We start from the raw sequence: 15,246 nt of genomic DNA on the forward strand, positions 1-15,246 counted from the left end.
ATAAGTATGACATTAGGGACACAAAAGTACCAAAGTATGTAATTACATAGAGTTCCTGACATCCCATCACAAGCTCTCCCGCCTCTGCTGCCATGTACATACATTCACTCCTTAGTAAGCATGTTCAATAATGAGGGCAAGTTCTTCAATCTGAGGTATTATAAAACAACTTTTCTGGTTTTTTTCCACCCCTCCCCCCCGCAATCTTATATTATGCTGCCTCCTCTGTCTCATGCCCCACTGCACATTGTTCTTTTATCCCTTCTCCATTTGTAATTGCTCACCTCCCGTTTTGGCGAAATAATCGTATTTGCTGATACTTTTCTTCTTTTCCTTTTCCCTGTTTCAGTATCTTCCGGTATCATCCTATTCAAACAACGTGTTCAAGCATCCTTGGAAAATTGAGGTGGAGAACAGGCCACACAAGCTGTAAACCCTTTGTAGTCATAAGACGAAAGAGGATTTGTTAAGAGTATTGTTTTGGGTAGAACTTGCATTAGCAGTGACAAAGATAGCCACCTCAACCTTTGGTAATAACCCTTGGCACACAAATATAAACCATAATGGAGTCTGAGTATGTCCTATGCAACTGGAAAGACCAGTTGTGGCCAGCAAAAGTTTTGTCCAGATCTGAAACTTCATCAAACAGTAAGAGGAAAAAGGCATTTTCTCTAGAAGTTCAAATACTCTCACTAGATGAAAAAATTAAATTGGACAGCACAGAAACAAAGATCCTAAATAAATCTCAAATTGAAGCCATTGCTGCCTCATTAGGACTACAGTCAGAGGACAGTGCTCCACCTACAGAGGAAACTGCCTATGGAAGATCACTAAAAGTGGCACTGGGTATTCTGAATGAGAGAACAAATTTGAGTCAAGCAAGCACTTCAGATGAAGAGGAGATCACTATGCTGTCTCAAAATGTACCACAAAAACAGTCCGATTCACCCCCTCATAAAAAATACCGGAAGGATGAAGGTGACTTACCAGGGTGTCTTGAGGAAAGGGAAAACTCAGCATGCTTGTTAGCATCTTCAGAGAGTGATGATTCCCTGTATGATGATAAATCACAAGCACCCACAATGGTCGATACTATTCCAAGTGAAGTGGAAACAAAGTCATTACAAAACTCTAGCTGGTGCGAGACTTTCCCTTCACTTTCGGAAGATAATGATGAAAAAGAGAACAAGAATAAGATTGATATCTCAGCAGTTATGTCTGTGCATTCTGCAGTCAAAGAGGAAAGTGCATGTGTTAAAGATGAAAAGTTTGCTCCACCTTTGTCACCTTTGTCATCAGATATGCTCATTATGCCCAAAGCTTTGAAAGAAGAGAGCGAGGATACCTGCCTAGAGACCCTGGCTGTTCCCTCTGAATGCTCTGCTTTCTCAGAGAATATTGAGGATCCTGGAGAGGGTCCCTCAAATCCATGCTTAGATACCAGCCAGAATCAACCTTCCATGGAATCAGAGATGGGGGCTGCAGCATGCCCTGGGAGTTGTTCAAGGGAATGCGAGGTTTCATTTAGTGCCTCTAACCCTGTCTGGGATTATTCACATCTTATGAGTAGTGAAAGAAATTTTCAGAGACTGGATTTTGAAGAACTTGAGGAAGAAGGTCAAGCCTCTGACAAGTCATTGCTTCCAAGTCGCATTAATCTTTCTCTATTAGATGATGATGAGGAAGACGAAGAACTTCCACGCTTCATTTTACATTATGAGACACATCCGTTTGAAACAGGAATGATAGTCTGGTTTAAATATCAGAAATATCCATTTTGGCCAGCAGTGATAAAAAGTATCAGACGAAAAGAGAGGAAAGCAAGTGTGCTTTTTGTTGAGGCAAACATGAATTCTGAAAAGAAGGGCATTAGAGTAAATTTTAGAAGATTAAAGAAATTTGATTGTAAAGAGAAACAAATGCTAGTGGACAAAGCCAGGGAGGATTATAGTGAGAGTATTGACTGGTGCATCTCACTAATTTGTGACTACAGAGTTAGAATAGGTTGTGGTTCTTTCACGGGCTCTTTGCTTGAGTATTATGCTGCTGATATTAGTTACCCAGTTAGGAAAGAAACAAAACAGGATACTTTCAGGAACAAATTTCCAAAGCTGCATAATGAAGATGCCAGGGAACCGATGGCTGTAACTTCCCAGACCAAGAAAATGTCCTTCCAAAAAATTCTCCCTGACCGGATGAAGGCTGCTCGGGACCGAGCCAACAAGAACCTGGTGGACTTCATTGTGAATGCAAAGGGAACAGAGAACCATCTTCTGGCCATTGTAAATGGCACAAAAGGATCCAGATGGCTGAAATCATTTTTGAATGCAAATAGGTTCACACCCTGTATTGAAACATACTTTGAGGATGAAGATCAGTTGGATGAAGTGGTGAAATATTTACAAGAAGTCTGCAATCAAATAGATCAAATAATGCCAACTTGGATAAAAGATGATAAAATTAAATTTATCCTAGAAGTTCTTCTGCCAGAAGCAATTATTTGTTCAATTTCTGCTGTTGATGGGTTAGATTACGAGGCAGCTGAAGCAAAGTATCTAAAAGGACCATGTCTAGGCTACAGGGAAAGAGAATTATTTGATGCAAAAATAATATATGAAAAGAGACGAAAAGCACCAACAAATGAAGCTCACTAAATGTGCTGAAAGTTGAAACCATGACAGGGAGCTCTCATAGATACTAGTTGAAAAAAGTCTCTGAACAATTCTCTCTAATACATATTTTCTGCAAATGGGAGCATGGATAATGTGTTCACTTTTTTTTGAGATCTCTAGGATCTGTGGTTATAATTACATCTTTATTTCCTTTTCTTGCGCTTCTTCAAAGTTAATTTTGTCAACATATTTCAGCAGTTCTACTTTCCCGTACATTTTTTAGAAAGCATAATTCCTAAATGATTTTGAAGGGAAAGTACTATTTTGTTTTATGACACTTTTGAGTCTATGCTGTATTGTTAAATATATTGTGCACAATTATTTTAATGTTAAAATTGCACTGGTGTTAGATATTAACGAAGATGATTGGAAAAAAGTCTGAAAGATACATCATTTCTATATTCCTTGCTTAATTTTTATAAAATATTGGGTTTTCCCTTAAGATAGTTGAAGTATTTTTCTTGCCATGCCTATTTATTTTTGCAAAAAAATTATCTGCTATATAGAACCAAAGATAGATTCGCTTTGCTATATATTATAACTATACTTGCTTTTGCAATAAAACAACTTGTAATTCAAAAATGAAGATTATCTGCATATAGTATTTATGTGTGTGAATAACATCTTGGCATGCAGAAAATAATTTTGGCTGCTTTGAACAGGATTGTTCATTCTACACTTCCCTGAAATTCCATTTTTGGGAGTGTCTATCCTTCAATGGCTGAATAGTTCCTTAAATCAGACAAGCTCCTGGCTATCTTCATAACCAGCAGTGAGTAGATCTTCTTAATATAGCTGTCTGACCACATGTGGAAGGCAGCTAGACTTATTGTATTTACAGCCTGGCCACTCTAGACATATGAATCCAGGCTGACTGCTTAAGTGCCCATCTCGTTTGATATAAACTGTAGAAAAGGCAAGCACTTTGTTCTGAGTCTTTTATCTCCAAATACATAGTTGTCTCAAACCAAGCAAGCTTTATCAAAATGGCTTATTTGCAGAATAGTTCCAATGATATAAATGCCAACTGGCAAGTCATTCCAAACTGCTTGAAGGAGTAGATGAACCAGAATCTGAGAATTTGGAAATAGGTCACAGAAAAAGCCTCCATTTGGCTAAATATGACAATTATCTGAGTATGGTTAAATACATACAATTAAATGTCTGAAGCCAATGAGTTGTTTATTCTAACTTGAAATATATTTTTGTGAGAATAAATGTTAGAAAAGTTAGTTTATTTTGGAAACCTGCCGTGAAAGGAAATTCTAAAGGCTTAACATGAAACTGTCTGCATTTCTACCTGTTAGACAATGGTTGCTCTTGGGCTCTTGTTATACAGTCATATGGCTACACGTTTATGTAAAGTTTGCAAAAGTTTGGTGTTTTGATTTATAATAAAACTGTTATATTATTCACCTTGGATTTTTACTTCATCCTACTTGAAATTGTGCAGCTACATAAGTGGTGTTTCTCCAAATTTAATACACACACACACACACACACACACAATGTATATATATGATTTGTTTGGAATTTTTGGTTCTTGTAGTTACCATCATTTTAACACCTGCTATAAGTTGTCATTCTAAATAAGTATTCCCTTTCATGTTGATTTTGTATTACTTTAATAGAAAGCCTACCGAATTTTATAAGCTGCATGTCCCACAAAACCTTCTTTGGACCCTGACTAAAAAAGACCAAGACTTCTTGGACATACAGCCTCTATCAATCCACATACCTTCCCCATTGCCCTAAGAAGTAATTTACAACAAACCATCATCACACTGTATGTGGATTTTATACCCTCGATAAAACACACTTTATTTGCTCTATAATTAGTCCATTTTCACACTGCTGATAAAGACATACCAGAGACTGGGCATTTTACAAAAGAAAGAGGTTTAACGGACTTATAGTTCCACATGGCTGGGTGGGGCCTCACAATCATGGCCGAAGGCAAGGAGGAGCAAGTCACATCTTCTTACATGGATGGCAGCAGGCAAAGAGAGAGAGAACTCATGCAGGGGAGTTCCTCTTTATAAAACAATCAGAATTCATGAGACTTATTCACTATCACAAGAACAGCATGGGAAAGACATACCCCCATGATTCAATTATTTGCCACTGGGTCCCTCCCATAACGTGGGAATTCAAGATGAGATTTGGGTTTGGACAAAGCCAATCCATATCATTCCACCCCTGGCCCATCCCAAATCTCATGTCCTCACATTTCAAAACCAATCTTGCCTTCCCAACAGTCCTCCAAAGTCTTAAATCATTTCAGCATTAACTCAAAAGTCCACAGTCCAGTGTCTCATCTGAGACAAGGCAAGTCCCTTCTGCATATGAGCCTGTAAAATCAAAAGCAAGTTAGTTACTTCCTAGATACAATGAGGGTATAGGCATTGAGTAAATACAGCCATCCCAAATGGGAGAATTTGGCCAAAACAAAGGGGCTATAAGCCCCATGCAAGTCTGAAATCCATCAGGGCAGTCAAATCTTAAATCTCCAAAATGATTTCCTTTGACTCCATGCCTCATATCCAGGTCACACTGATGCAAGAGGTTTGTTCCCATGGTTTGGGCAGCTTCGCTTCTGTGGCTTTGCAGGGTATAACCTCCCTCCTGGCAGTTTTTATGGGCTGGCATTGAGGGTCTGCGGCTTTTCCAGGTGCATGATGCAAGCTGTTGGTGGATCTACCATTCTGGGGTCTGGAGGACAGTGGCCCTCTTCTCACAGCTCTACTAGGTGGTGCCCCAGTAGGGACTCTGTGTTGGGGCTCCGACCCCATATTTCTCTTCTACACTGTCCTAGCAGAAGTTCTTCATGAGAGCCCCACCCCTGCAGCAAACTTGTGCCTGGGCATCCAGGCATTTCCATACATCCTCTGAAATCTAGGCAATGGTTCCCAAACCCCAATTCTTGACTTCTGTGCACTGGCATGCCCAACACCACATGGAAGCTGCCAAGGCATGAGGTTTGCACCTTCTCAAGCCATGGCCCAAGTGCTACATTGACCCCCTTCAGCAATAGCTGGAGTGGCTTGCACGCAGGGCACCAGCACTGCACACCTCATGGGGATCCTGGGCTGCACACAGCACGGAGACCCTGGGCCTGGCCCCTGAAACCACTTTTTTCTCCTAAGCCTTTGAGCCTGTGATGGGAGGGGCTGCTGTGAAGACCTCTGACATGTCCTGGAGACATTGTCCCCATTGTCTTGGGGATTAACATTCTGCTCCTCGTTACGCAAATTTCTGCAGCTGTCTTGGATTTCTCCTCAGAAAATGGAATTTTTTTTTCTATCGCATTGTCTGGCTGCAAATTTTATGAATTTTTGTGCTCTGCTTCCCTTATGAAACTGAATGCCTTCAACAGCACCCAAGTCACCTCTTGAATGCTTTGCTGGTTAGAAATTTCTTCCACCAGATACCCTAAATCATCCCTCTCAAGTTCAAGATTCCACAAATCTCTAGGGCAGGAGCAAATTGCCACCAGTCTCTTTGCTAAAACATAACAAGAGTCACCTTTGCTCCAGTTCCAAACAAGTTTCTTATCTCCATCTGAGACCACAGCCTGGATTTCATTGTTTATATCATTATCAGCATTTTGGTCAAAGCCATTCAACAAGTCTAGGGAGTTTCAAAGTTTTCCACATTTTCCTGTCTTCTTATGAGCCCTCCAAACTGTTCCAACATATGCCTGTTACCCAGTTCCAAAGTTGCTTCCACATTTTCAGGTATCTACAGCAGCACCCCACTCTACTGGTGCCAATTTACTGTATTAGTCTGTTTTCACACTGCTGATAAAGACATACCAGAGACTGGGCAATTTACAAAAGAAAGAAGTTTAATGGACTTCCTGTTCCACATGGCTGTGGGGGACCTCACAATCATGGCAGAAGGCAAAGAGGAGCAAGTCACATCTTACATGGATGGCAGCAGGCAAAGAGAGAACTCTTTGCTGGGGAGTTTCTCTTTATAAAATGATCAGATCTCATGAGACTTCACTATCACAAGAACAACATGGAAAAGACGTCCCCCCATGATTCAGTTATCTCCCACTGGGTCCCTCCCACAACACATGGGAATTAAAAATGAGATTTGGGTGGGGACACAGCCAAACCATATCAATAATATTGTGTCCCTCTGATTCCAATATAATACCCACCTTTAGTTCTCTCAGTGGAGCTATCTCTGTCTCCTGGTTCTAATATTTTCATTATTACCTTATTCATTCATTTATAGCATTGTGAGTCAGGAGAGCAAGTGATCTGTAGCTAAAGCTCTGCTCTGAGGGTAGATTTCAGGCTCCAAAGAAAGGAGATGTTACTTCTGTGATCCAGATGAAAATCTAATTTCTAAGATGAGTAGGATGCACTACATCATCATAGTGAGAAATATTGATTAACTTTTTGCACAGACTGCCTGTACTTGAAAACCAGAGCCCAAGTTTCCTCATATTTGGGAATTCCCAAGTGTCTGTTTGGTTTGTAGTAAAGATTGGACACCTGATCCCTCTTAAGATGTCATTTATCTTGAGGCATAGTGAAGTAAGGGAGGAATGCCTCAAACATGCATCCATTCTCCTCTTTGAATGAATCATTGAATGGCATTTGAGATGTGAAAATGGATGAATTTGGCTTCCAACACATTGTGGACTCAGATCCCTTGCAGCCTGAGTAGCTGTTAAGGCAACTCTAAGATTGCCCTAAGCTGGATCCCTAATGTAGGTTTGTGTGTCTGATCGGAGAGCCTGACTTGTTATCCACCCTAACCCACTGGGTTAAGGAAACCCTCATCTTTTCTAGTCATAAGGCAGACTTCTGAATATCAGGCCCAGATTCTAATCTGGCCCAGGTCTACAGAGCTGCAAGAACACCACATACATAATGCTTACAGATTTAGATAGATCGATCGATAGATAGATGATAGATGATAGATAGATAGATAGATAGATAGATAGATAGATAGATAGATAGATATAGATAGATACATACATACATACATACACACATAGAAATAGAGATATCCTGATAAGGAAAGAATAAAACCATGAGTCTGGTAATAGCCAAGTGTAAGAATAAATCCCCTCAACCCTCAGCCTAGCAGAAGCAGCCCCCTTAAACCCATGCTATTGGAGAGCAGCCTCCCTGTTCCTGGAGACAAGCCAATAACTTCATCTAAGACACCTACCTCAAAAGAAATTGCTGGTGTCAATATCCAGCACTGACATTTTTAATTGCTTCCAACCCATGACAAAAGTAAGTTGTTACACAGCACAAGGAGCAAGATACAATCTCTAAATAGGTGGAAAATACCCTATATTTAGAAGGAAATACAGGAACTGGCTAATATGCATTAGCATCAGCTAGGATAATATATGTTGGAACAGATATTGAGGTTGTAAAACTAACAAGGAAAGGGAGCAGAATATGCAATCATAGGGGGAAACTTATTGGCATGGGATCACACACCTGTTATTCAGAGTTCACTGACTTGGAGCTGGCCTAATAACGCTGCTAGGGTGTCATCTTTAAGCCTTGACCATGACAGCCCACTCAAACTTTCTTGCCAGAGTACTGAGGAATTGGTGAGAAGGTCAAATGAAGTAGCAGTATTAGAAGTGACTTATTGAGTGAGACAAGAGGACCTATCTCTGAACTATTTTCCCTAAAAGGGCAGAGAAGATATTTTGATAAGGAATGTGTTGATGAGGAGGAACACTAACATTTTTTAGAAGCTTGATGTTGGCTCTCCTTTGCAAATCATGGTTGGAAGTAAACTATGTTGCAATGGAGATGATATGATTCCAAAATGGTAGGGCCCAGGTGACAGCATGAAACCTCAGTGGCATGGTAGGTATCATTACCTTAATGGAAAGCAAGGTCAGAGTGGAGTCTGGCTAACTTGACTGACAGAAATGTCAGAAGCTGTGACAATGCCTTATAGATAGTAGTATTCCAGGGCTAGATGTACAGACAGCTGGCTGATGTATTACTTCTTTTGTACAAAAATAAAAGATGTGACTTTGGGAGGCCGAGGTGGGCGATCGCAAGGTCAGGAAATCGAGACAATCCTGGCTAACATGGTGAAACCCGGTCTCTACTAAAAATACAAAAAATTAGGTGGGCGTGGTTGTGGGCTCCTGTAGTCCCAGCTGCTTGGGAGGCTGAGGCAGGAGAATTGCTTGAACCCAGGAGACGGAGGTTGCAGTGAGCTGAGAGCATGCCATTCCACTCTATCCTAGGCGACAGAAAGAGACTCCATCTCAAATTAATAAATAGATAGATAAATAAATAAATAAATAAATAAATAAAAGATGTGACCTGGCAAGCCAAAGTCTGATGTTAGCAGCTGCAGTGGAAAATAATGGCTCCCCACCAAGTTTGCAGATCTGCAGTGCAAATTGCCCTGCTACTCAAGCCATATGACTCAGCATAACTGATAATGCTTAAGGTATCTATGGTGGTTAAGCATGAAGTATCTAGCCATTATACGGGTGCTATAACACATAATTCTGAGGTTCTGAAGAAAACCCATATCTCCTGTAAACTACTTGCCATTTAAAAACATACCCTCATATGCTATTAAGGCATAATAGAAATAGAGTGCCTAATCAAGAGACAGCAAGTGACAACATGACATGAGCTGCCCATCATAAGTTGTACATTTAGATTCACCAAGTGATAAGGGCTGACGGGGTAAACAGCAATTCACCCCATGACGGAAATGCCATATATGAGATCCAGCATGAGAAGGCATCAATAAATCAGCAGATTACACAAAACTGCCATGACATTGACCATTGTTGCAATAATACCTCCTCTCAAAACACTTCTATGACCATGGGTCAGGAGGTTATCTATGACCAGCTGATGGAAGAGGAAAATATCAAGCTGAATGCACAGATGTCAGCATTACAGATAGCTGTAAATGTACTGCTCCTACACTTTAGCCTCAGTTGGAGTAGCCCTGAAGATTAGTGTTGGAGGAGAAACTCTTAGTTGGCAAAGCTGTGAACAGTACACCTGCTACTTCACTTTACAAAGGGACTAGTGGCCTGAAGTTGTTTCCTGGACTGTGGAGAACAACTTGGCTGGTGTGTCTGAGTCTTGGAATGAGAAGGGCTGGAAACTGAAAAAAAGAAAATGTGGATTAGAGGCACATAGATGGAATTATGGGAATGGAAACAAATCATATGTATCTTTGTGCCTCATTTTTAATGGCCATGCAAGAGAACTGACTGTAGAGAAGGCACTCAACAACCAAGTGGACCTAATGACTCATGCCATGAATGTCAAACAACTTCTTTCCTCAGTTATCTTATTTCTGGCACATAAATCCATGAATTGTCTTGGTGGCAGGGATTAAGCCTAAGCACGAGCTCAACAGCATTGGTTCTCTCTTGTCAAAGGTGATCAAGCTACTGCCACTGCTCAATGTATATCTTTGCAAGAGCAACATCTGATGCTCTGCCCTCAATTCTATACCTTCCTTCAAAGACACCATCCAGCTACTCGGATCCATGTTGAATGCACTGCACCCATAGTAGTTATTCATCCTAACAAAAGTGGATACCAACTTCTATCCCAGAAGACTGAGCGCGACCTGCCTGTAGTGATGTCCAATTTAATAACACATCCTTGTTTGAATTTTCTTCTTTTCTTATTTCACCACTAATTTTTCTCACTCTGACTCACTAAAACCACTTGGCAAATAAACTATTTGCATGCAAACTCTTGTATCAGGCTCTGTTTTGTGGACACTCAGGCAACGACAAACAACAATAATGATGCATATATTTTAGAAAATATAACTAGGTACCACAGTATAGTAACATCATAAAACATTTTAAACATTCATAAATGAAAGCTGTTAAAAGTTAATAAGTTTTCCATTTCTGGATAAGACAAAGTATACACATTTCTACCCCATTCCCACTACTAAAATCAGTAACCTAACTTTTCACCTTAGGAATCTAGAGAAAGTAGAGCAGATTAAATCTAAAATGAGCAGTAGAAAGAAAATAAATACTAGAGCAGAAATCCACAAAGCTAAAAACAGGGAAAAATAGAATAAATTAGTAAAATCTAAAGGTGTTTCTTTGAAAAGATTAATAGATTTGATAAGACATTAACCAGGGTAACCAAGAAAAGGGGAGAGAGAAAGAAAAGTCACAAATTATCAATAACAGAAATAAAACAGGAGACATCACTACTAACCCTATGGTTGTTAAGGATAATAAAATATTATCAACACCATTATGCACACAAATTTAATAATTTAAGTGAAATGGACCAAGTCCTCAAATATTTTTAAAGAAAATATCATTTTATTTTATAACATTTCATTGAAATACACTTGATATTTTAATATGGAATTCACATTTTTTACATGAAAAGGCACCGGTGTCAGATATTAAGCAACAATAATTTTTAAAATTCAATGTATTTTTTTCAGAAATATTAATTGAATTTTTTACCTTATTAATATAAACTCTTAGATTTTCTTTTTAAGAAAATTTCTGAAAATTCAAAACAATGGCAGAGAAACTTTCTTATATATTATCCTTAATTTCAACAGTCTTTGCAAGAAAACAACCTGCAATTAAAGGATAAAGTTGATGCATTATCTGTATGCAGTCTATATGTGTGTGAATAAAATCTCAGCATGCAATAAATCATTTGGGCAGCCTTCAGGAAGATTGTTCATCCACATTTTCCTGAAATTCCATTTTTGGGAGTATCCATTATTTAACAATTGAATTGTTTCTTAAAACAGACAGTCTTTTTGGCTGTCTTCCTCACTGACACTGAGGGAGATTCTCTTAATATAGCCATCTACTCCCATGTGGAAGGCAGCTAGCATCATTGTATTCATGAACTGGCTGCTCCTGACCTATGACTCCACACTGACTTAAGAGTTCCTGTAGTCTAATATAAGCTGTAGAAAAAGCAAGCACTTTATTTTGAGTCTTTTAGCTCCAAATAGTCATTTGTCTCAAACCAAACAAGGTTTATCACCTTGCTTATTTGTAGAATAGTTTCAATTGGTTCCAGTAATACAAATGCTGACTAGTAAGTCATTCCAAACTGCTAGAAGGAGTATATGGACCAGAATCTAGAATTTTGAAAACAGCTCACAGAAAAAGCCTTCATTTGGTGAAATATGACAATATCGTAATATGGCTGAATATACACAATTAAAAAGTTAAGATCTGAAATGAATTGTTTTTCCTAAGGAAATACAGTTTTTGTGAGAATAAATGTTAGAAAGTCTAATTTATTTAAAAAACTGAATGTGAAAACAAATGCTAAGGTCTTAACCCAGATCTACCTGCATTTTTACTTCGTAGAATGTCAACTGCACCTCATTTGTGATGACATTGACACATATTCTTTTTTTTCACAGTAATGACTATGATAGTTGAAGTCTATCCTCCTGGATTTATAGGGGGAATAAGACATCTTTCATAATTTCCCTTTCACTTTGCAGAAGCTCCCTTAATAAAAATTATATCGCATTTCCTGTTGGATGGGAGATTACCCACTTACCTGTCACTTAGTAAGTTAATGTTTTAATAGAGAGACAGACATTCATTCAAGATAATTGCAAATAAAAATTGTAATACATTATACACATTTACAATGTGGATTTCAATATGTGATGTAGAAGATTAAAAATTATTTATTGGAGGCTGGGCACAGTGGCTCACGCCTGTAATCCCAGCATTTTGGAAGGCCAAGCCAGGCGGATCACGAGGTCAAGAGTTCAAGACCAGCCTGACCAATATGGTGAAACCCCATCTCTGCTAAAAATACAAAAATTGGCGGGGCGTAGTGGCGCACACCTGTGGTTCCAGCTACTTGGGAGGCTAAGGCAGGAGAATCACTTGAACCCAGGAGGCAGAGGTTGCAGTGAGCTGAGATCACACCACTGCACTCCAACCTGGATGACAGAGCGAGACTCCGTCTAAAAAAAAAATTTATTGGAATCACTGAAATTGTGGAGTAGGGAACTCCAAGGATCTGTCAACCCACAGGGGCAATAAAGATGCTAGCAAAAACTGTCAGAATCAACATTTTTTTGGAACTCTAGAATTGAATCTCGCACTGAATTGATTAGGTTTTATCATCAAAACAACTTGGCAATAATAAAGCCAATATTTTGCCCGTGTACCCCCCTTTCATCATATAACATTCAGTTGCTGCTATGGTCTTTGGCAACAACCATGTACTATGTTCTGGGAACATAATTTGGCATAGGATAATTGTCTTAAACTCTGGAAGTTGCTTCTCTTTTTTACTCATACCCATGAAGAGCTTTCTAGAATACCAGCTTCAGGACCATAGAAATTTTTTCTTTTGTTCTGTTCCATCTATAGTGCCTTGAACAGTGCCTGGCACATAAGAGGTACCCGGTAAGTATTTGTTAAATGAATTGAAAGAATGAGTAGTATAGATATCAAATCTCTTGGGTCCTGCTCTGTCTTGTATGTGAAAAAAAAGTAAAATTCCTGTGATTTCTGAGACCTTAAAAGCACTATCCAGTTCTAACAGCACACATCTCAGAATGTAGCTGCTGAAGCAAGCTCAGCACCATCCAAGCATCAGGGACACTTTTGGCCAAAAATAAATAGAAAAAAAGATACAGTGCAAGACTTTAAGTTTTTTTGGGTTTTAATTTAATTTCACACAAAAGCAGAATAATGTTATTAATTTTTGGAATTTATTTATTGGAAATTCATAAGGAAAAATAGTCTTTTTTTTCAAATTTGGAGCATCTCCATATTGTTGCCATTTTATTATTGGTCTATCTAAATGTGATCTTATAATCTTAGAACCTCTAATGTACCACATTGAGAAGCATAGCTGGACATAGGATGGGAAGTAGAACAGGGCGTAAACTTACAGCAAGAGACTGAAACTACAGAGACAGAAAGACTATGCTTGTAAATGGAGAGTCTGCTGCTAGAGATGTGGGAAATCTTGCTTCTGAGAGTGTGGAGAAGTGGCTAGATGAAGTTTAAAGTCAATTCAGGACTGTAGTGCCAGAAACACAAGGTTCAACAGACAAGTAGGAAAGTTTAAATATGCTGGATAGGAAGAAAAGTTACCTCTAATTGTATCTGGTGACAGGAGGGTGCAGCTACACACTTCGTTTACCAAAAACTTAATTAATGGTTAAGATATGTGTTAAAATAACAAAAACCTGGTGGAACATTGGAATGAGAGTGGGTTGGAGATCCTCCATGTTCCTTACTGCTTGCTTCACTGTTGAAGGAAACTGATTTCAGAGTAACGCTCCTAATCTCTCTCCCAACTTTCCTTCCTTAGGAAGGATGATTGAAGAGCTTGGTGAGCTTTGGGAGAAGAAATTAAGTATGACTGGATCAGACCCTTCTTTTGTTTTTGGCTGTCTGCAAGGAGGGTCCATTCTGGTTTTCTCTGTGCCATAATTTAAAATGGACCTGTCCTGTGCTGCTGAAAGATGGTGAAAGCAGTGATTTTCTAGCAATGCCAGAGACTGGATAAGTAAATCTGTTTAGTTCAGGGAGCAAGTATTTGCAAGCATTTTGGGTACAGATTATTAGCAATAAAGCTAACATTTTAATGTCTATCTCTCTGTCACTCGTCTTATTTTTTAGTCGATTCTGACCTAGAGAACACAAAGAAGTACTTAACAAATCTCTGTTGTATTAATCTCAGACAGAAAAAAAAGGTAGTTTAAATCTCTGAGGTTTCTAGAAGGATTTAATATAAATATAAATAATAAGCATGAAGAGGAATGTGAGAAATACAATTTTTGTGGATTATTACATTTTAGAAACTTTGGGGGATATTTCAGACAAAGTTTGAAATATAAAAATCATTCTACCGGACATGAGAGCATATTCCTCTTTCTGTGGGATTTCCCTTGAAAGGCTTTTGTCAGTTCTATTCTTTAATGAGCAAGATGAAACAATTAGTCTGAGATAGTTCTAATCCCAAAGTGTAATTCAAAAGCAATTACCTTCAGATGTATTTACACATCATTTAATATAAATATCATTTAATATAAATGGAACATTTGATTTTATTTGGGATTTTAGGATACAAAGAAGTATTAAATGAGAAGTTTAAAAAAACCTTTATCTAAATTTGGAAAGTTTGTGGTAAGTTATTGGCATGGACTGATATAAAATAATAAAATATTTTGCTTCTGGATTGAGAGTCCAGCTGATAAATATGTGGTTGAACTACTTAGTATAATAAAATGTGAGGGTTTTGTTTTTAATGCAAGGGAGAGTTTTATGTAGCACATTTGTGAGAAACAGAATTCTTCCATTGTATTACTGGGACTGTTCATTGAACAATGGAGAGTATTTTACATATCTTTACTTGCCAGGGTTTCTGTCTTCTAATGCCAGCCTTGGTTATTGGCTTCTGGGTATTCGCAACACTGATATTTCATTCTCTTTGGAAAGAAGGCATTGGTTTGTTGGTTGTGTGTGTGTTTGTGAGATCAAAGTAGTGGTAGAAATGTTTGGAAATTAGAATATCAGTTCTGGTTCCAGGTAATATAAAATAAAAAC

The 15,246-nt window shown here is 38.6% G+C and overlaps 1 protein-coding gene across 10 annotated transcripts in view; it reads left to right on the top strand.

Annotated features, from left to right (window-relative positions):
* PWWP3B (PWWP domain containing 3B) overlaps positions 1-4,087 on the top strand; it is a 40,652-nt gene extending 36,565 nt beyond the window's left edge. For all 10 annotated transcript variants that reach the window (XM_047441823.1, NM_152423.5, XM_017029269.2 and 7 more), the window contains one exon: positions 350-4,087. In XM_047441823.1, the coding sequence (XP_047297779.1) occupies positions 564-2,654 (2,091 nt within the window). In that variant the 5' untranslated portion in view covers positions 350-563 and the 3' untranslated portion in view covers positions 2,655-4,087. The remainder of the gene's footprint in view (positions 1-349) is intronic.

The sequence above is a fragment of the Homo sapiens genome, chromosome X (assembly GCF_000001405.40).
Source record: "Homo sapiens chromosome X, GRCh38.p14 Primary Assembly".
Lineage (NCBI taxonomy): Eukaryota > Metazoa > Chordata > Mammalia > Primates > Hominidae > Homo > Homo sapiens.